At 43.9% G+C, this 23,252-nt stretch overlaps 1 protein-coding gene across 2 annotated transcripts in view; it reads left to right on the forward strand.

Annotated features, from left to right (window-relative positions):
- SYNE2 (spectrin repeat containing nuclear envelope protein 2) overlaps positions 15,085-23,252 on the forward strand; it is a 464,854-nt gene continuing 456,686 nt past the window's right edge. The window contains exon 1 of one of the 2 annotated variants that reach the window (XM_047431152.1): positions 15,085-15,218. The gene's annotated coding sequence lies outside the window, so the exon portion shown is untranslated. Of the gene's footprint in view, positions 15,219-15,335; positions 15,476-23,252 lie in introns of those variants that run through there. The other variant, XM_011536576.3, reaches the window with a different exon arrangement.

The raw sequence follows: 23,252 nt of genomic DNA on the forward strand, positions 1-23,252 counted from the left end.
ATTGAGTCGACTATGTCAGATTTCTCTTACTGTCATAGTTTTGAAAAAGTTGGTTTCACACTAAAAGCTGCAGATGCTGAAGTCTGTGATATAAAATGGTGTAGTATTCACATATAACTTACACACATCCTCATGTACTTTAAACCATTGCTCGTTTACTATAATGCCGAATACAATGGAAATGCTATGAAAATAGCTGTTAGTTTTTTGTTTGTTTGCTTGTTTATTTGTTTTTGAGATGGAGTCTTGCTTTTTTGCCCAGGCTGGAGGGCAGTGGCATGGTCTTGGCTCACTGCAACCTCCACCTCCTGGGTTCAAGTGATTCTCCTGCCTCAGCCTCCTGAGTAGCTGGGATTACAGGCGTGCCACCACACCCAGCTAATTTTTTTGTATTTTTAGTTAGAGACGGGGTTTCACCATGTTGGCCAGGCTGGTCTCAAACTCCTGACCTCAGGTGATCTGCCCACCTCAGTCTCCCAAAGGGCTGGGATTACAGATGTGAGCCACTGCACCCGGGCTTGGTTTTTAAATTTGCATTATTTTTATCGCTGCATTGTTATTTTGTATTTTTTAAACATTTCTGATCCGTGTTTGGTTCAATCCCCGAATGCAGAACTCGCGGATACAAAGGGCCAACAGCATTGCAATAGAAACATGTGACCTTAAGACAGGTAAGTTTTCAAAAGTTAGGCAAAAAGGGTTTTTCTTTTAGAGAAAGAACTAGGCTAGAAAGAACCAGGTATGGGAAGGTGGGATAAAGGGTGGACTGATGGGAGAGTAGGTCAGATAATGCTTTACCCTGAAGGCCTCCTATCCTCAGCGAGTGCCTTTAAGGAGTGGCTTTCTGCTGGTCAGGGTCCTGGGGGAAGGAAAAAAAGAACCTTAACCAAAGTGTGGTTAAAAAACCTTTTTTTTTTTTTTTTTTTTTTTTGAGCCGGAGTCTTGCAATGTTGCTCATGCTGGAGTGCAGTGGCACAATCTTGGCTCACTGCAGCCTCCACCTCCCAGGTTCAAGTGATTCTCCTGTCTCAGCCTCCAGAGTAGCTGAGATTACAGGCGTGCCATCATGCCTGGCTAATTTTTGTATTTTTAGGAGAGACGGGGGGGTTCACCATGTTGGCCAGGCTGAAATAAACACTTTTTGTTTCTGTTGATACAGTGAGGACAAAACATTTCAGCTAGTTATTTGTGAGGAGAGGAATGGAGATTTGGACAGCCTGTGTCTGGCACTGTCATAGCTAAACAAGGTAGGCATCCCTGAGTCTTATCTAACTCATATGGGGGAGTAGCTATTTTTTTAGAACACAAAAAGATGAAGGGATTTCCTAACCTTCAGGTTAAGTTCAACATTATCAAATAAAATGGCATTATTTTCTACTCAGATTCCCATTAAGGAATAAAAGTGTTAGTATTCTTTGGGTGTCAATGGCAACACTATTTGAGTTTCATTTCAACACCCAGGTGTCATCATTCACTCTGACACACCCACATTCAGTGATAGGACAAGGACTCTAGTATTTTTACGTTTATGGAACAGAAGTGGTTGCCATATGCTAAAATTGTTGCTGAAAAGTATACCGCAAGTAGAAGAACTTAGGTTATGCAAACGGAAGATATGCTTCAAATCAGCAGTTTGAAAACTGTAGTTTTAATGTTACTAACTTAGGATAACAAGGGGAAGCAACCTTAGAGGTTTCTCAACTTAAGACTAGAAAAAGATGTTATTTTTTTCTTCTTCTTCTTTTTTTTGTTTTTTTTTTTTTTTTGAGACAGAGTCTCAGCTGCAGCCATGAGCTCTTGGGCCCAAGTAATCCTCCTACCTCAGCCTCCCAAGTAATTGGAACCACAGGTGTGCACCACTGATGCAGGAGTTAAAAAGGAATTATTTAGGCAGATAATGGGGGTAAGGAAGTCCTCCGTAAGGTTTTCCTTTTAATGAAAAGCAGCCCTGCCGGGCGCGGTGGCTCACACTTGTAATCCCAGCACTCTGGGAGGCCGAGGCGGGCGGATCATCTGAGGTCGGGGGTTTGAGACCAGCCTGACCAATGTGGAGAAAACCCGTCTCTACTAAAAATACAAAAACTTGGCCAGGCTTGGTGGCACATGCCTGTAATCCCAGCTACTCCGGAGGCTGAGGTAGGAGAATCGCTTGAACCCGGGAGGCTGAGGTTGAAGTGAGACGAGATTGCACCACTGCACTCCAGCCCAGGCAATAAGGGCAAAACTCCATCTCAAAAAAAAAAAAAAAAAAAAAAAAGGCAGCCCCAAAATAATTTTCTTTTCTAACAAACAGCAGCCTGTAAAATTGAGCTGCAGACATAGACAAGCAAGCTAGAAGCTTGCACAGGTGAATGCCAGCAGCTGTGCCAATAGGAAAAGGCTACCGGGGACTAGGCATGTTCAGAACAGTGGCTCCATGTTCCCTTCTCTTTGCCAGTCACGTGTGCAGCAAGGAGCGGACAACACGGCGCCGGCCAAGTGGAAAGTCCATTTGCATAATAAGATTAGGGTGCATTGGCCAGCCTTCCCCATGCTCTATGTAAACATCACACCTGGTATAACCAATCTGTGGTTATGTAAATCGGACACTGCCTCCTTCAGCCTGCCTATAAAATCCGGTGCACTCCCATTCCAGCCCAGAATTCCCATTCGGGGGCTCCTGTCTCTTGCAAGAGACAGAGCTGTTCTCCTTTCTCTTTCTTTATCTATTTATTTATTTATTTATTTTTATTTTTGAGACGGAGTCTCGCTCTGCCGCCCAGGCTGGAGGGCAGTGGTGCGATCTCGGCTCACTGCAAGCTCCGCCTCCCGGGTTCAGGCCATTCTCCTGCCTCAGCCTCCGGAGTAGCTGGGACTACAGGCGCCTGCCACCACGCCCGGCTAAAATTTTGTATTTTTAGTAGAGACGGGGTTTCACCATGTTAGCCAGGATGGTCTCGATCTCCCGACCTCGTGATCCACACCTCGGCCTCCCAAAGTGCTGGGATTACAGGCGTGAGCCACTGCTCCCGGCCTTTCTTTGCCTATTAAACCTCTGCTCCTAAACTCCTTGTGTGTGTTCATGTCCTTAATCTTCTTGACGCAAGACGAGTAACAGCGGGTATTTGCCCCAGATAAGGATGCCACTTCACCACCACACATGGCTAATTTTATTTATTTTATTGAATAACTTTTAGTAAGAAACCTCACCTGGATTTTTAAAACAAAATTTTGTTTAATATCTTTTTTTTTTTTTTTTTTTTTTTGAGACGGAGTTTCGCTCTTGTTGCCCAGGCTGGAGTGCAATGGCATGATCTCTATCATGGCTCACTGCCACCTCCACCTCCCGGGTTCAAGCAGTTCTCCTGCCTCAGCCTCCTGAGTAGCTGGGATTACAGGTGCCCGCCACCACGCCTGGCTAATTTTGTATTTTTAGTAGAGATGAGGTTTCTCCATATTGGTCAGGCTGTTCTCCAACTCCTGACATCAGGTGATCTGCCCACCTCAGCCTCCTAAAGTGCTGGGATTACAGGCATAAGCCACCATGCCTGGCCCTTTAATATCTTTTAGTAAGAACATTTTTAATTTTTTTGTATTTTTTACTTATTTTTTTGTTTGTTTTTTTGAGGGAGGGTCTTGCTCTGTTGCCCAGGCTGGAGTACAATGGCACCGTTACAGCTCACTGCTGCCTCAACCACCTGGACTCAAGTGATCCTCCTGAGTAGCTGGGACTATAGGTATGTGCCACCATGCCTGGCTAATTTTCTTTTTGTATTTTTAAATAGAAACAGGGTTTGGCCATATTGCCCAGGCTGGTCTCAAACTCCTGAGCTCAAGGGATCTTCCTGCCTTGGTCTCCCAAAGTGCTGGGATTACAGGCATGCTCCACTGTGCCCAGCCTATTTTTCTTATTTGTAGGGATGGGGTCCCGCTATGTTGCCCAGACTGATCACAAACTCCTGAGCTCAAGTGATTCTCCCACCTCAGCCTCCCAACGTGCTGGGATTACAGGCGTGAGCCACTACACCTGGCCAAAAGCTGATTATTTTAACCATCAAATCAAGAGACAGACATCATATCCACAAGCAAGAATATGTACATATCGAGAAGTGTGATATTACTTCAATAACAGGTTACTATTGTTTTTTTTCTTCTTTTTCGTATTGTTTTGATTTGGTAAACTTGATTATTTATTTTCATGTATAAATTATGAGTGCTATAAATTCATACCATTTCTACTTACTATCCACAATGACCAGAATAATCTCTTAACTTCATAATTCCAATTGTTTCTATCGTTTTACTTTACCACTAATTTCAGCCACTTTAGATTTTTCTTTTTTTTTTTTTTCTGACTTCTCTATCCTTTCCCCACCCTTTCCCCCTTTTCTATTCCACAAAACTGCCATCGTCATCATGGCCCGTTCTCAATGAGCTGTTGGGCACACCTCCCAGACGGGGTGGTGGCCGGGCAGAGGGGCTCCTCACTTCCCAGAAGGGGCCGCCGGGCAGAGGGGCCCCCCCACCTCCCGGACGGGGCGGCGGCCGGGCAGAGGCGGGCCCCCCACCTCCCTCCCGGACGGGGCGGCTGGCCGGGCGGGGACTGACCCCCACCTCCCTCCCGGACGGGGCGGCTGGCCGGGCGGGGGCTGACCCCCCACCTCCCTCCCGGACGGAGCGGCTGGCCGGGCGGGGCCTGACCCCCCACCTCCCTCCCGGACGGGGCGGCTGGCCGGGCGGGGGCTGACCCCCCACCTCCCTCCCGGATGAGGTGGCTGCCGGGCGGAGGGGCTCCTCACTTCCCAGACGGGGTGGCTGCCGGGCGGAGGGGCTCCTCACTTCCCAGACGGGGTGGCTGCCGGGCGGAGGGGCTCCTTACTTCTCAGACGGGGCGGCTGCCGGGCGGAGGGGCTCCTCACTTCTCAGACGGGGTCGCGGCCGGGCAGAGGCGCTCCTCACATCCTAGACGGGGCGGCGGGGCAGAGGCGCTCCCCGCATCTCAGACGATGGGCGGCCGGGCTGAGACGCTCCTCACTTCCTAGATGGGATGGCGGCCGGGAAGAGGCACTCCTCACTTCCCAGACTGGGCAGCCGGGCAGAGGGGCTCCTCACATCCCAGACGATGGGCGGCCAGGCAGAGACGCTCCTCACTTCCCAGACGGGGTGGCGGCCGGGCAGAGGATGCAATCTCGGCACTCTGGGAGGCCAAGTCAGGCGGCTGGGAGGTGGAGGTTGTAGCGAGCCGAGATCACGCCACTGCACTCCAGCCTGGGCAACATTGAGCACTGAGTGAACCAGACTCCGTCTGCAATCCCGGCACCTCGGGAGGCCGAGGCTGGCAGATCACTCGCGGTTAGGAGCTGGAGACCAGCCCGGCCAACACAGCGAAACCCGGTCTCCACCAAAAAAATACGAAAACCAGTCAGGCGTGGCGGCACGCGCCTGCAATCGCAGGCACTCGGCAGGCTGAGGCAGGAGAATCAGGCAGGGAGGTTGCAGTGAGCCGAGATGGCAGCAGTACAGTCCAGCTTTGGCTCAGCATCAGAGGGAGACCGTGGAAAGAGAGGGAGAGGGAGACCGTGGGGAGAGGGAGAGGGAGAGGGAGAGGGAGAGCTAGATTTTTAAAAGTGGGTGCTTTATAATACATTTGCTTCAAAAAATATATTTAACTGAAAAAGTTAAATGAAATACATTTATACATTGAATTACCAAGAATACCAGTAATACATTTTCATAAATGTAATACATAGTAATACATTTTCATAAATGTAATACATAGTAATACATTTTCATAAATGTAATACATAGTAATACATTTTCATAAATGTAATACATAGTAATACATTTTCATAAATGTAATACATAGTAATACATTTTCATAAATGTAATACATAGTAATACATTTTCATAAAATCGAATACATTATTTCATGTGATCTTTACAATGTTTCTGAAATAAATTATCACCATTTTATAGTTGAGGCAAGTTAGTGGCAGAGCTGGAATGAGATTTAAGTACTGATTGATTTACTTACGTTGCCCTATATACTACATAATCAGAACATTTTATGTAGGATAGTAAAAAGATTAAAATATCCAATAAGAATGATAGCGTAAGGCCGGTCACAGTGACTCATACCTGTAATCCCAGGGCTTTAGGGCATTGGGGCAGGAGGATCACCTGATCTCAGGAGTTTGAGACAAGCCTGGGTAACATAGCAAGATCCATCTCTACAAAAAATAAAGATTAGCTGGGCATGGAGGCACCTGCCTGTAGTCCCAGCTACATGGGAGGCTGAGGCAAGAGAATTGCTTGAGCCTAGAAATTTGAGGCTGCAGTGAGTCCGATGGGTTCACCTTGCCCACTGCCTAGACAGAGCTGATTTATCAAGATAGGGGAATTGCAATTGAGAAAGAGTGATTCATGAACAGCTGGCTATGCAGCAGACCAGAGTTTTATTATTTACTCAAATCAGTCTCGCTGAGCATTCAGGAAGCAGAGTTTTTAAGGAGAACTTGGTGGTTTGGGGGGGGAAGCCAGTGAGCCAGGAGTGCCCATTGGTCAGGGATGAAGTCATAGGGAGTCGAAGCTGTCTTCTTGGACTGAATCAGTTCCTGGGTGGGAGCCACAAGATCAGAAGAGCCAGTTTATTGATCTGGGTGGTGCCAGCTGACCAAGCGCAGGGTCTTGCAAAATATCTCAAGCACTGATCTGAGGAGCATTTTAGCGAGGGTAAGAATCTTGTAGCTTCCAGCTGTAAGACTCCTAAAACCATAATTTCTAATCTTATGGCTAATGTTAGCCCTACAAAGGCAGTCTAGTCCCCAGGCAAGAAGAAGGTCTGCTTTGGGAAAGGGCTGTTATCATCTTTGCTTTAAACTATAAACTAACTTTCTCCCAAAGTTAGTTCAGCCTATGCCTAGGAATGAACAGGACAACTTGGAGGTTAGAAGCAAGATGGAGTCAATTAAGTTAGATCTCTTTCACCGTCTCAGTCATAATTTTGCAAAGGCAGTTTCAGCACCACTGCACTCCAGGCGGGGCAACAAAGTGAGACCCTGTCTCTAAAACAAAGAATGGTAGTATAAGTGAAAACCATGGTCGGGTGCGGTGGCTCACGCTTGTAATCCCAGCACTTTGGGAAGCTGAGGTGGGTGGATCACCTGAGGTCGGGAGTTCGACCAGCCTGACCAACATGGAGAAACCCCATCTCTACTAAAAATACAAAATTAGCCAGGCGTGGTGGCACATGCCTGTAATCCCAGCTAGTTGGGAGGCTGAGGCAGGAGAATCGCTTGAACCCGGAAGGCAGAGGTTGTGGTGAGCCAAGATAGTGCCATTGCAGTCCAGCCTGGACAACAAGAGCAAAACTCTGACTCAAAAAAAAAAAAAAAGAAAAGAAAACCTTTACCTTAACTTTGAATATATATGTATCTGTCCTACATGAACTCTTTAACTGGTTCATCTTCGACATAATTAAAAAATCTCCATAAACAGAGGAATAGTGTTTGTACATAAAAATGGATAAATTTTTCTTCCATGATGAAATAACACTCTTGGACAATTTTTAAGTTTATTAATGGAGATAGGTTGAATTAATGTTTGGGGGAAAATACTGTAACTTGGCCTGGGGCAGTGGCACATACCTGTAATCCCAGCACTTCCAGAGGCCGAGGCGGGTGGGTCACTTGCGGCCAGGATTTTGAGACCAGCCTGGCCCACATGGCAAAACCCCATCTCTAATAAAAATACAAAAAAATTAGCTAGGTGTGGTGGCACGCACCTCTAATTCCAGCTACTTGGGAGGCTGAGGCAGAAGAATCGCTTAAACCTGAGTGGAGGAGGTTGCAGTGAGCTGAGATCACACCCATGCACTCCAGCCTGGGCGACTCCGTTTCAAACAAACAAACAAACAAAAGTATAACTTGATATACTATTCTATTATTTTGGGAACTCCAGAGCTGATATAGCTGAATTTCTAGAGGTACCTTTCCATAGGGTAATATTTAATTAATTAATCCATTACTCTTTGTTTAAATTTCAATTTCAGAACTATCACAAGCAGAGGGGATAAATTTTCTTTCTAAAAGGATCAAAATTTAAGAAATTAACATTGCGATTGAGTTATATTTTGGTTGACCATTTATTTTATTTTTTTAAATTTTTAATTTTTTTTTCCTTTTTTGTTTTTCCTTTAATTTTTAAATTTTTTTAAAAAGTAGAGACAGTGTCTCACTATGTTGCCCAGGCTTGTCTTGAACTCCTGGGTTCAAGCAATCCTCCCATCTTGGCCTTCCAAAGTGCTGGAATTATAGGCATGAGCCACCACACCCAGCCATGGTTGACCATTTTAAATTTATTTTCAGTCCATAAAAATAGGCCGGGCACTGTGGCTCACGCCTGTAATCCCAGCACTTTGGGAGGCCGAGGCAGATGGATTGCCTGAGGTCAGCAGTTGGAGACCAGCCTGGCCAACATGGTGAAACCCCATCTCTACTAAAAATACAAAAAATTAGCTGGGCGTGGTGACAGGCGCCTGTAATTCCAGCTACTCGGGAGGCTGAGGCAGGAGAATCGCTTGAACCTGGGAGGCGGAGGTTACAGTAAGCTAAGATCCTGCCATTGTACTCCAGCATGGGTGACAGAGTGAGACTCTATCTTAAAAAAAACAACAACAAAAAAATATATATATATATTTGTGGGCATGGTGGCATGAACCTGTAGTCCAAGCTACTCAGGAGGTTGAGGTAAGAGGATCTCCTGAGTCTAGGAGTTCAAGACTGTAGTGCACAATAATTGTGCCTGTGAATAGCCACTGCACTCCAGCCTGGACCACATAGCAAGATCCCCATCTCAAAAATAAAATAAAAATAAATAAAATTACTTAATTTAGAAAATTTTGGAATGGTAAATTATTATTATGCAATATGTGTGAACATAGATATATAAAGGTAACATTATAATCTTTAAATGATTCATGAACTCAATATGGTGACAATAAAAAAAGTGAGTTTAATTAATTGAGATTGATAGCCACATTCTACTAAATCAATAAAACAATTGGAACAGTTTTAAAATTTACAAGATATCATACCTATTAAAGATATGGAATGAAGGAAAATGCATGGATGACAGCTAGATAATTTTACTTGGAGTCGGAATTTTAAATTGGCAGTTATGAAGTACATGATACATAAAGAGACAACCTATGGACTAGGCACGGTGACTCACGCCTGTAATCCTAGCACTTTGGGAGGCCGAGGCACGTGGATCTCACTTGAGGTCAGGAGTTCGAGATCGGCCTGTTCAACATGGTGAAACCCCGCCTCTACTAAAAATACAAAAAACAATTAGCCAGGCATGGTGGTGGGCACCTGTAATGCTAGCTACTCGGGAGGCTGAGGCAAGAGAATCACTTGAACTTGGGAGGTGGAGGTTGCAGTGAGCCAAGATCACGCCACTGCACTCTAGCCTGGGTGACAGAGTGACACTCTGTCTCAGAAAAAACAACAACAACAAAAAAAGAGACAACCAATGAAATACATAGATGACCATAATTTTGAAGTTTTAGAAACTTACAACCCACAGGGACCTCAGGTTAGATTCCCTAATTATTGTTGCACGGTATCTCTCATGACATTTTTGTGAAAAAGAAAAAAGGTGAAAAAAGGGATATTATGAAAGTAAACATAAAAATTAAAAAATTTCCTTGCCACACTTAAGAATGAATACTGTTTTTAGTTGGTGTGCATGGGTGTGGTACCTGTGTGATAATATTCTGCATTGAGTTAGATAAATGCTTTTAATTTGAGAAGTATGGCTTAAAGTCTGTATTATGTTACATTTACACATTTTTGGCCAGTAAATTTAAATAGATACACAGTTAAAGGTACCAACTACTATTGCAATATTCTTACCATCCTGAGTCTATTATTAAAAGAGTTATTAAAAACATTCCTGATGCAGTTAACAAAGAACCTTGGCAAGTGAAGACCTCCTTTTACTTTTATCCGTTTTGTTATATATACAGTTACATTTGAGTGAAAGTAAGCCATAATTTTAAAGATTTTCTAATAGTATTTCACATTTATTGAACATTATGAATTGGAAAGTTTTGGATATTGTTGAACTATACAAACATTGGAAATGCTGGAAATTTTATAAAGGATAAAAATTTTAGTCATGTGTCTGAACAGTGAGTTTTACTGCTAGTGGATTAAAAGAAACACTTTTTTAGTCATGCTTGTTCAGAGAACTTAACTTTTATTGGAGTAAGATTGTATCCTCATGCATATGAAAAATAATGAGGAGGCTGGGTACGGTGGCTCATGCCCATAATCCCAGCACTTTGGGAGGCCGAGGCGAGTGGATCACTTGATGTCAGGAGTTTGAGACCAGCCTGACCAACATGGTGAAACCCCATCTCTACTAAAAATACAAAAATTAGTCAGGCATGGTGGCACACGCCTGTAGTCCCAGCTACTCGGGAGGCTGAGGCAAGGGAATTGCTTGAATCCGGGAGGAGGAGGTTGCAGCGAGCTGAGATTGCACCACTGCATTCCAGCCTGGGCAACAGAGTGAGACTCCACCTTAAAAATAATAATAATAATAATAATAATAATAATAATTAGGCTCAGATATTAATTGAACCCTAAACCTATTCAAAGATTTGTCCACTAAATGCTGTTAAATGGACTAGCCTCCTCTTAGTTTAACCTAAAGCTAAAAAGGATTAATTCTCTTCAGTTAGCTGTCTCTTGTCAAATATTTGTTTTCAGTAATTTAGGGCAAATGACCAAAGAAAGGAATACATGGATTGAAGAAGGATTAGAGTAGTGAAAATAGTTGTTTCATGTTTCAAAGAATGCTTTCAGTCTCTTTTATTCTTTATAGCATAAGCTGATTATTTTGTTTGACATGTTTTTACAGTGACTGCTATTGATAGCACCTCTTTGTTTTGGATGTTTTCTTTTATTTTCTTTTACTGACTTTGTTGGTTTAGTTTAGCTTATAATTCCAGCCTTTCCTTACTCTGCACCCCTACCTGGCTTTTGATGTATCCCTCTTTCTGTTGCTTACACAGAAAGGCTAACTTTTTTTCTATAAATAGAAATTCTAGACAACAGCTTAAGGGCACTGGTGGAAATGATATAGTTGTAGTAACTCCATGGTTTTATTCATTGTGCCTTCAGACCTTCTGGAAAGAGGATCCTTTGGCAAAAAAAAAAAAAGACTAGAAGAAGATACATAAAATGATAACAGTTGTCTCGCTTTTTTTTTTTTTTTTTTTTTTTAGACAGAATCTGGCTCTGTCACCCAGGCTGCAGTACAGTGTTTCAATTACAGCTCACTGCAGCCTCGAACTCCCAGGCTCAAGATATCCTCCCACCTCAGCCCCCTAAGTAGCTGGGACCACAAGCACATTCCACCACGTCCAGCCAATTTTTGTATTTTTTGTAGAGATGGGGTTTCACCATGTTGCCCAGGCTGGTCTCGAACTCCCAAGCTCAAGTGATCCGCCTGCCTCGCCCTCGCAAAATGCTGGGATTACAAGTGTGAGCCACCATGCCTGGCAGTCCCATGATATTTTGCCTTTATTTTATATTTATGTCATTTTCAAATTCTCTTAATTATTTTTACAATCTATAAAAATTAAACAAGACTTTATTTTAACTTGATTTTTAGTATACAATGAGTATTGCAAAGGTCAACAGTCCAAATGCAATAATTAAACAACTTATATCTAGCTATGCATTTCAGTTTGTTCCCTTTGAAAATTTATCCTACAGCCTTCTCAAAATATGAACAAAACATATGAAATCAAAGGGTACCAATTTTAAATGAGTGGTATTCAAACTTTTTTTTGCATGTTATTTATTTATACATTATATATGTATTTACTGTATTAATATATAACATACATTATGCAATATATAGACATTTTTAAGGATGAAATAAAAATATAAAGAGGCTTTTTTTTTCTTTTGAGACAGAGTCTCCCTCTGTCACCCAGGCTGGAGTGCAGTGGCGTGACCTTGGCATGGTGATGTGTGCCTTTATTCCCAGCTACTCAAGAGGCTGAGGTGGGAAGATCCCTTGAGCCCAGGAGTTTGAGGTTGCAGTGAGCTATGATTGCATCACTGCACTCTAGCCTGGGTGGCAGAGTGAGATCTTGCCTCCAAAAAATCTGTAGGTCTAGATTTTTTTTTTTTTTAATTTTAGCATATGTGCTGCAGAAGCGAGCACAGATTTTTTTTTTTTTTTTTTTTAAGAATATTTTAGGCTGGGCATAGTGGCTCACGCCTGTAATCCCAGCACTTTGGGAGGCTGCAGTGGGCAAATCACGAGGTCAGGAGGTCAAGACTAGCCTGGCCAACATGGTGAAACCCCTTCTCTACTAAAAATACAAAAAATTGGCCAGGCCTGGTGATGGGCACCTGTAATCCCAGCTACTGGGGAGGCTGAGGCAGGAGAATCACTTGAATCCAGGACAAGGAGGTTGCAGTGAGCCGAGACTGTGCCACTGCACTCCAGCCTGGGCAACAAAGCGAGACTCAGTCTCAAAAAAAAAAAAAGAATATTTTAAATTTATTTACATGCAGGCTGGGCACGGTGGCTCACGCCTGTAATCCCACCACTTTGGGAGGCCAAGGCTGGTCAGGAGTTCGAGACCAGCCTGGCCAACTAGGTGAAACTCCATCTTACTAAAAATACAAAAATTAGCCGAGTGTGGTGGCACACACCAGTAGTCCCAGCTACTCGGGAGGCTGAGGCAGGATAATCGCTTGAACCCAGGAGGCAGAGGTTGCAGTGAGCCGAGATCGCGCCACTGCACTCCAGCCTGGGTGACAGAGTAAGACTCTGTCTAAAAAAAAAAAAAAATGTTTACATGTTGTATTTCCATTATTTAAAAAAAAGATTTGAGAGTAAATAGCAGAAAAAGTAAGAACCAAATTTTTGCATGCCTTCGTGCTATACTTTGCATTCATTTTTTTGAGGATTGGATTTATCTACTAGTCAGGTTCAAAATTTGGCATCCCTGCTCGAAATCGTGTTTTCTAGAATTTTATAGGAATGGTTGAAAGCAAAAATGAAACTGTCAGGCACAGTCCATGAAGCAGAGGATGTGGGCAGAGCAAGGACAGAGTATGTCTAAGACTTACTTTACCATGTGATCTAGGAAGCCGTCACTGTACAAAGACAACCACTGCTGGTTTGAATTAAAATAATTTTTGGCTGCTTCTCTTCACCTTCTTGGAGATCCTTCCTCAGGAATAAGGAAATAATTCAGGAAATTCACGCAGGAGCTCAGAATGTATTTCCAATCTCTGTAGTCTCCATTTTTGGCAGGCACACAGATAAGGGGATGGGAAATTAATATTGAGCCACACACAGGGGGAAGAAAATCTAATGTTCCTGAAGAAAAGGAACCTTGTTCACTGAAACAAGAAAATATTAAGGAGTAAGGCTTATCAAGTATTAAATTTATATTTACTAAGCCACTCAGTGTTAGGTCAATATCCTAAGCAGAAAAGATCAAGGAGGTAATAAACTGAAAGAAATTTTTTTTTTTTACAAAGTTCTGAATCTCCATCTGCAATAGAGATTTGTTTTTGCATTTTGCTTCTCTTTTAGAGATTGAAAGTTAGAGATAGGATTGACACACTTCTACTTGTTTTTTAAGACTCAGCACAAATATTACTTCTGATGTGAAACTTTTGAGGCTACCCTGTAGTTTCCCTCCTATGCTTCCTCATAGCATATTGTATTTTTTTTTTTTTGAGACAGAGTCTTGCTCTGTTGCCCAGGCTGGAGTGTAGTGGCATGATACCAGCTCATTGAAACCTCAGGTGATCCTCCCACCTTAGCTTTCTGAGTAGCTGGGACCACAGGAGTGTGCCACCATGTCCGGCTAATTTTTTGGTAGTTTTTGTAGAGACAGGGTTTCGCCTTGTTGCCCAGGCTGGTCTCGAACTCCTCACCTCAAGTGATCCACCTGCCTTGGCCTCCTAAAGTGCTGGGATTACAGGCATGAGCCACTGCGCCAGGCCTGTACCTCTATTTTTATTTATTTATTTATTTATTTTGTGACAGAGTCTCGCTTTTCTGCCAGGCTGGAGTGCAGCAGCATGATCTCAGCTCACCGCAACCTCCGTCTCCCGGATTCAAGTGATTCTCCTGCCTCAGCCTCCCGAGTAGCTGGGACTATAGGCGTGCACCACCACGCCCAGCTAATTTTTGTATTTTTAGTAGAGACGGGGTTTCACCATGTTGGCCAGGATAGTCTTGATCTCCTGACCTCGTGATCCACCCTCCTCAGCCTCCTAAAGTGCTGGGTTTACAGGCGTGAGCCACCACGCCTGGCCTTGTACCTCTATTTTTGAAAAGCATTATGATATAATTGTTCCTTTAAAATAAAATGTGACTGAGGCCGGGCACCATGGCTCACGCCTGTAATCCCAGCACTTTGGGAGGCTGAGATGGGTAGATCATGTGAGGTCAGGAACTAGAGACCAGCCTGGCCAACATGGTGCAACCCTGTCTCTACTAAAAATACAAAAATTAGCTGGGTGTGGTGGTGGACGCCTGTAGTCCCAGCTACTTGGGAGGCTGAGGCAGGAGAATCGCTTGAACCTGGGAGGCGGAGGTTGCAGTGAGCCAAGATCGTGCCATTGCACTCCAGCCTGGGGGACAAGAGCAAAACTCCGTCTCAAAACAAACAAACAAACAAAAACAAATAAAACATGACTGAGACTATGTGTGTGTGTTTTTTTTCTTTTTGATCCACGGTACTGCAGGGTGAAAGAACTATTTTCCTTCCTACCTAAGGTTCATGACTGAGACCCCGTAACAAAAAATAGATTAACAAGAGAAAAGCATACACATTTATTTAACGTAAGTTTTACGTGATGCGGAGCCTTCATAAGGAAATGAAGAACCGAAGCAACAGTTAAACAGAAATGTTTTTATGCTAGATCTGATGAAGAAGTGGATAGTTATGGAGAAGTATGGCCGGAAAAAGGAGGTATGATCTAATGGCAGGAAGCTGGAGGGCATTTTGCAAGGCCTGTTTGTTCAGATTCTTCTCTGAGTTCCTGTGTCTTCATAGATAAGGATGTTCCTTTTCTTCAGGTATAGGGAGAATACTTCTCTAATGAGGGACTTATGACCTGCTTCAGAGAAAGGCAGAAATGTCCTTTTCGGCTTTATGACCTGCTTCTGGAGAAAAAAGGGGAAAGGTGAGAATGAGCCTCCTCCTTCTGCTATCTTCTCAAATGCCAAGGTGTTGTATTTTGGGATAGCACGTCATGAATTCCATCAGCATCTACTACAGTGAAAGTGTTCAGGACATTGCCAAACCTCTCCCAGAGTCAGGCGTGTAAACCAGCCCGAGCGGCGGCGGCAGCTGCAGGACCGCCGTGACGACCAGAGTAGCGACCCGCGGGGAGCGGCACGGGGTGACGCTGGCTGCGGGGACCCAGTGACAGCGTGAGAGGTAATAGGTTTTGACAAGTTTGCATCATGTGTGAATATAAGCTAGTCGTTCTTGACTCAGGAGGCGTTGGAAAGTCTGCTTTGACTGTACAATTTGTTCAATGAATTTTTGTTGAAAAATATGATCCTACGATAGAAGATTCCTATAGAAAGCAAGTTAAAGTGGCCAGGCGCGGTGGCTCACGCCTGTAATCCCAGCACTTTTGGGAGACCGAGGCAGGCGAATCACCTGAGGTTGGGAGTTTCAGACCAGCCTTGACCAACATGGAGAAACCCCGTCTCTACTAAAAACACAAAAAATTAGCCGGGCGTGGTGGTACATGCCTGTAATCCCAGTTACTTGGGAGGCTGAGGCAGGAGAATAGCTTGAACCTGGGAAGCAGAGGTTGCAGTGAGCTGAGACCGTGCCATTGCACTCCAGCCTGGGCAACAGGAGTGAAACTCCATCTCAAAAAAAAAAAAAAAAAAGTTTATTGGGACAAAAAGAAAAGAAAAAACTATCAAGAACTTTTTTTTTTTTGGACAATTCAGGAAACTAGAATGGACTGGATCATTAAATGCCTTGGCCATAAATATGGTATTGTGGTTATGTAGGATAATTTTTTCTTTCTTTTTTTTTTTTTTTTAATAAATTGAGACAGGGTGTTGCTATGTTTCCCAGGCTAGTCTCAAACTCCTGGGCTCAAACAATCCACCCGCCTTAGCTCCCAAAGTGCTGGGATTACAGATGTGAGCTACCATGCATGGCCAGGAGAATGTTCTTGTTCTTAGGACAAACACGCTGAACTATTTAGTGGTGAAATGTCATGATGCCTGCAACTTACTTTCAAATGGTTCAGAAAGAGAGAGAAAAAAAATGCAAATTTGTAGAATGCTAACAAATGGTGAATCCAGGCAAAGATTATATGAGGATGTATTATGCTGTAATTTTCTTTACTTTTTCTAATTTGAAATTAAAATAGAACATAATTTAAAACAAGTTTTTCGTTTTGTTTTGTTTTGAGACAGAGTCTCACCTGTGGCCCAGCCTGTAGTGCTACGGCACAATCTTGGCTCACTGCAACCTCTGCCTCCCAGGTTCAAGAAATTCTCCTGTCTCAGCCTCTCCAGTAGCTGGGACTACAGGCGCCCACCACCACACCTGGCTAATTTTTGCATTTTTAGTAGAGACAGGGTTTCACCATATTGGTCAGGCTGGTCTCAAACTCCTGACCTCAGGTGATCCGCCTGCCTCGGCCTCCCAAAGTGCTGGGATTATAGGCATGAGCCACCACGCCTGGCCAACAAAAAAGTTTTTAAAGCCTTAAAAGAGTTTTCCTCCTGGAAGCCTACTGTAAAGAAGTAATGCCCATGGTTTTTAGATGCAAAATAAAGCACATTTTAACTCCTGAATCATTTATACTTTATTTTGTTTACTTTTTTTTTTCAAGAGACAGAGTCTCTGCCTGGTTTGGTGGGTCAGGCTTGTAATCTCAGGACTTTGGAAAGCCAAGGCAGGAGGATTGCTTGGGGCCAGGGGTTTGAGACTAGACAGGGTAACATGGCGAGACCCTGTCTCTATAAAAAATAAAAATAAAAAGGCCAGCCATCATGATGGCTCAGGCCTGTAATCTCAGCACTTTGGGAGGCTGAGGCGGGAGGATTGCTTGATACCAGGAGTTCAAGCCCAGCCTGGGCAACATAGCAAGACCTAAAAAAAGACAAGGTCTTGTTCTGTCCCCCAGGCAGGAGTGCAATGGCATGATTATAGCTCAGTACAGCCTCAAACTCCCAGGCTCAAGTAATTCTCCCACCTCTGCCTCCCCAGTAGCTGGAACCACAAGAGCGCATGCCCTCATGCCCAGCTAATTTATTTTTTATTTTTTGTAGAGATGGGGACTTGCCCTATGTTGCCCAGGCTGGTCTCCCCTCAAGGGTTCACCTGAAGCGATCCTCCTGCCTCTGCCTTCCAAAGTGCTAGGATTACAGGAGTGAACCACTGCACCTGGCCCTGAATCATATTTTAATTTACAACTGAGTTCTAAACTTTTGTCTTCCCAAGAAATTTTAAAAGGAAGGCAATATAGATAACTCAAAACAAATTTGTAAAATGGAATTCACTGGCATCAGTCCAGGAGAATTAAAATTTGGGGGCTAGCTGTTAGGCATAAGTAGAAAATATGACTTAATCTGGGAATGTCTGGTCACAGATAAAACTGACATACATGTGAGTCTACAGACTGGATTAATGACATATACCTGAAAGCTTAGAAGAGTGTTTTGCAAAGAGCCCCACTGTTTGTATCCGTGAAAGTCCAGTCAGAAACATAGAAGCCACTGTTTGAAAGAGAGAAACTAGTTCAGGGAATTGTTTACACGAGGGATGAACAGCTGAGGCTAAGAAGTTCAAAGTGGACAGTGAGGGCCAGCTGCAATGGCTCACGCCTATAATCCCAGCACTTTGAGAGGCCATAGCGGGAGGACTGCTTGGGCCCAGGAGTTCGAGACCAGGCTGGGCAACATAGTGGGACCACCCCCTGCCCCCCGCCCCCGCCTCCATCTCTTAAAAAAAAAAATCTGTTCTTTTGACTCTTTTTTTTTTTTTTTTGATTTATTTTACTTTAAGTTCTAGGATACATGTGCAGAACGTACAGGTTTGTTACATAGGTATACATGTGCCATGGTGGTTTGCTGTACCCATCAACCTGTCATCTAGGTTTTAAGCACTGCATGCCTTAGGTATTTGTCCTAATGCTCTCCTTCCCTTTGTGCCCCACCCCACAACAGGCCCCAGTGTGTGATGTTCCCCTCCCTATGTCCAAAAAATTTAAAAATTAGCTGGGCGTGGTGGCGCACACCTGTGGCCCCAGCTACTTGGGAGGCTGAGGTGGGCAGACTGCTTGAGCTGGAGAGGTCGAGGTTACAGTGAGCTGTGATTGTGTCACTGCATTCCGGAGTGGGCAACAGAGTAAGACCTTGTCTCAAAACAAAACAAAACAAAGTGGACAGTGAAGCAACTCAGAGTTAACATCAGCAGAAAGCCACAACCACCCCTACGTGTCATCATCCTCAGGAGCTACAGCCAGGGGGTCAAGGAGGAGCAGGAGCCCCTGAGGAAGGGGCTGTTCTAAGGGTACGGGAGAGAGGGGGAGAAATCCCACCTTTCCTCTTCCTTCCATCCTCTAACTTTTCACCATGACTAAGCCCAGGGGTAGGTCAAGGGCAAGGGAGTTTGGGGAAAATAGTTTCTTGTGATAAAGAGCAGAGTAGCAGAAGGGCAAGGGATGGATCTGAAAACAAGTAGCTAGAGAAGAGGCATATACACTATTCCATCTTTTTTGCTTTTTGCTAAGATTTCTCAAATTCATACTCATATGCGATAGACTTGTTTTTTGTTTTTTGTTTTGAGATGGAGCCTCACTCTGTCACCCAGGCTGGAGTGCAGTGGTGCGATCTCGGCTCACTGCAAGCTCCGCCTCCTGGGTTCACACCATTCTCCCACCTCAGCCTCCCGAGTAGCTGAGACTACAGGTGCCCGCCACCATGCCCGGCTAATTTTGTTTTTGTATTTTTTAGTAGAGACAGGGTTTCACTGTGTTAACCAGGATGGTCTCGATCTCCTGACCTCATGATCCGCCTGCCTCGGCCTCCCAGAGTGCTGGGATTACAGGTGTGAGCCACCACACCCAGCCCATATGTCATCGACTTTTAAAAAACAACAAGAAATATGAAACTCTAGTAATAATGGTTGAGTTAAGACTAATGAAAAGACAGAATTTGAAAAATAATGTCTTCTGACCATATCTGGACTTACATAGGATTGCTGCGAAACATTAAGTTTCATTTTGCATCTTCAATAAATAATCTATTTTGTAAAAAAATTATATCTGCCCTGGCCAGGTGTGTTGGTGCACGCCTGTAGTCCCAGCTACTCAAGAGGCTAAGGCAGGAGGATTGCTTGAGCCAAGAGATTGAGGCTGCAGTGAACCATGATTGTGCCACTGCACTGCCACCTGGGTGACAGAGCAAGACCCTGTCTCAATAAATAAGTAAACATATATATCTGCCATTGGTACCACCTAACTACTCTTGCATGGATAAAAATCTCTTGAGTGGATTTTTTTTTTTTTTTTTAAGAGAGTCTTGCTCTGTCACCCAGACTGGAGTGCAGTGGCATGATCTCGGCTCACTGCAACCTCCGCCTCCTGGGCTCAGGCAATTCTCCTGCCTCAGCCTCCCGAGTAGTTGGGATTACAGGTTCCTGCTATCACACCTGGCTAATTTTTTGTATTTTTAGTGGAGACAGGGTTTCACCATGTTGGCCAGGCTGGTCTTGAACCCCTGACCTCAAGTGATCCGCCCGCCTCAGCATCCCAAAGTGCTGGGATTGCAGGCATGAGCCACTGCTCCCAGCCAATAGTGGAATTCTTTTTCCAGGAGTATGTATAATGCTAAATGTTGAATACTTGTTTGCCTGAAAGTAAAGCATCATCCCTGTGATACTAAAAAAAGCTCCTGGAACAGCTGGTGTCACCTGGGGAGCAGTTTCTTTGTTGTTGTGTGGTTAAGTATTGTACCATATACAGTTATCCAGTGGCAGGGAGCTGTGCAATGTGACAAGACTCCAGAAGTGCAGGTTTAGCAGTGGCAAAGAGCTCCATTAATTATTCTTCTAGGTGTACTGTTCTCCAGACAGGAAGGAAATTCTGGGACAACGTTGTTTAAACTTTTCAGTCTGTAGACCACTTCAGGGGAAGAAAAGAAAACCTTGTATTTCACCTCTCCCACTCACTCCCCTTCCCTCTAAAGAAAACCTCTCTGGGGAGAGAGGGACAAAAGGCCTTAGATCTCCTTCTTTGTTAGCGGAATCACTTAATGATACTGGAAGCCAGTGAATGACGTTGGGATTGAAGGTAGGTAGTACAGAGGAGACAGGGATGAGTAAAACACCAGAGGAAACAAGATGCAATGGGCAGAAGTTGGTGAGTCCATGATTAGAAAGTTATCATAAAATTTAGAGTCTAAATTAAATACACCATATCAAGCAGAGTCAATAAAATAAAAAATAAAAATAAGAAAATAAATTAAATATGCCAAAATGGCAGGGGCGTTTTGTTCAGCCTGCACAATCTTTTATTTTTTTTATCTTTTTTTTTTTTTGAGATGGAGTCTGGCTCTGTCGCCCAGGCTGGAGTGCAGTGGCGCAATCTCGGCTCACTGCAATCTCCACCTCCCAGTTCAAGCAATTCTCCTGCCTTAGCCTCCCAAGTAGCTGGGATTTCAGGCGCCAGCCAACACGCCCAGTTAATTTTTGTATTTTTTTTTAGTAGGGATGGGGTTTCACCATGTTGTCTAGGCTGGTCTTGAACTCCTGACCTCAAGTAATCCGCCCACGTCTGCCTCCCAAAGTGCTGGGATTACAGGCATGAGCCACTGTGACCGGCCAATTTTTTATTTTTTAAATTTTTCTTAGTTTTTTAAAATTGTGCATGTATCTCATCTTATGCAAAATCATTTAAATTAAGTTATTTGACATTAAAAATAGAGAATTTCATATAAAAATCGAAATTCTAGCTTCTCTTATAGATTGGGATGCCGTGGCCACACTGGGCCCTGATTCCTACATGGCAGTCACTTGAACCCTCTCTGGTCCACCATGTCCCAGCCTTACCTGGTTCAGTCATGTATGTTACTTGCCTGGCCCCTGTGTGCAAGTAATCCTTTTTCCTTTCTTCTGCCTGCATTCTAAATTGCCTAAGCGTTTGCACTATCACCCTCATATTCTATCTTTTTGTATTGAATCAGCTTCTGTAGTGATTAGTGTCCATTTGTTAAGCCACTATTTGAATTAATAAAAACTCATCTCAGAAATTGCAATGAATATCCCCCATGATACATCATTTCACATTTTTTTGTGAAAGGAGGGATATATGAAAGCCATTGTGTAAGCTGGGCACAGTAGCTCACGCCTGTAATCCCAGCACTTTGGGAAGTCAAGGTGGGCAGATTGCTTGAGCGCAGGAGTTCAGGACCAGCCTAGGCAGCATGGTGAAACCCCGTCTTAACAAAAAATACAAAAAATCAGCTGGGCTTTGGTGGCACCTCTGTAGTCCCAGCTACTTGGGAGGCTGAGGTGGGATCGCTTGAGCCTAGGAGGTCGAGACTGCAGTAGCCATGATCATGCCACTGCAATCCAGCCTGGGTGATGAAGTGAGACCATGTCTCAAAAAAAAAAAAATTGTATGATTACACACGCAAACACATCTCTGCCTACAACTGAAAGAATTTGAGTTGACTTGAAGTAAAATTAAATTATAACAACAAAACAAGTGACAAACCACCCCACAATTAAAGGCAAAAATCCAGTAAAAAACGTCAGTTAGCTGAGATTAAGCCTTCATGTTGTAAACCTCCTTTGGGTCATTCCCTTTTTTAGTACTTACCCAGTTAAAACTTGTTTGATGCCTTAAACCCCTGCTAGACTATAAACTCTTAATGGCAGGGACTTTGTCAATCTTATATATTACCATATTCCAAAGTGCATAGCATAGAGCCTCATTAGTTCAATAAATAGATGAAAATGTATCAGGAAACTTTTTTGCTCAGTTGCTGCTAAAGAAAATCTATAGCAATCAAACATAAAATTGTTTTTCAAACTCTTAGCAGCCAGGACAAAGAAAGAAGCAGCCAAAGGTCTTGGCCTGTAGCCTGTCCGTATTGTAGGATTAGCCCCTGTCCCAGAAACAGTGTGGATAAAACAAACAAACAAACTAAACCTCCAGCTAAGAAAGTTGCTCTGGATTCCTATTTGTTGGTGCCTTGAGGAGCAAGGTACAAGGTGCATATCACTAGTCTGGCTTCCAGGACAAGACTGTGATCACTTGGAGATCACAGTCATAGAGGAACTGGTTTTCAGACAGGCACCTAGATGATGAAGAACAAAACACAAGACATATTAATTGCAATGAGGATTTAGGAGGTGGCAGAATCCTATTACTAGGTCTAGCCAATAAGATTAGAAGAGGACAGGTTGAGCATGGTGGCTTACACCTTTAAGCCCAGCACTTTGGAAAGCCAGGGCAAGAGGATGGCTTGAGCCCAGGAGTTTGAGACCAGCCTGGGCAATACAGTGAGACCTCATCTCTAAAAAAATGTTTTAAAAAAGATTAGAATAAAACAAGCTTAACTTGTAGGAAGTAACCAGAGCGATGAAGTAAACTTCCACTTTCAGAATTGGTTCCAGCATCTAGAGATAGGTCAAGACTGTAGTGCCTGGGGAACAATCTAAGAATAGAGAATCAGGAAGGCCATTAAATATTACAGGGGTAGGCCAGGCATGTTGGCTCATGCCTGTAATCCCAGCACTTTGGGAGGCCAAGGCAGGCAAATTGCTTGAGCTCAGGAGTTCAAGACTCACCTGGAGACCAGGCACAGTGGCTCACGCCTGTAATCCCGCACTTTGGGAGGCCGAGACAGGCAGATCATGAGGTCAGGAGATCGAGACCATCTTGGCTAACATGGTGAAACCCCGTCTCTACTAAAAATACAAAAAAATTAGCTGGGCGTGGTGGCGGGCGCCGGTAGTCCCAGCTACTTCGGGAGGCTGAGACAGGTGAATGGCGTGAACCCGGGAGGTGGAGTTTGCAGTGAGTCGAGATCGCGCCACTGCACTCCAGCCTGGGCAACAGAGCGAGACTCCATCTCAAAAAAAAAAAAAAAGACTCACCTGGGCAACAAGGTGAAACCCTGTCTCTAAAAAAAAAAAAAAAGAAAGAAAAAGAAAAATCAGCTGAGTGTGG

This window comes from Homo sapiens, chromosome 14 (assembly GCF_000001405.40).
Source record: "Homo sapiens chromosome 14, GRCh38.p14 Primary Assembly".
Taxonomy (NCBI): Eukaryota; Metazoa; Chordata; class Mammalia; order Primates; family Hominidae; genus Homo; species Homo sapiens.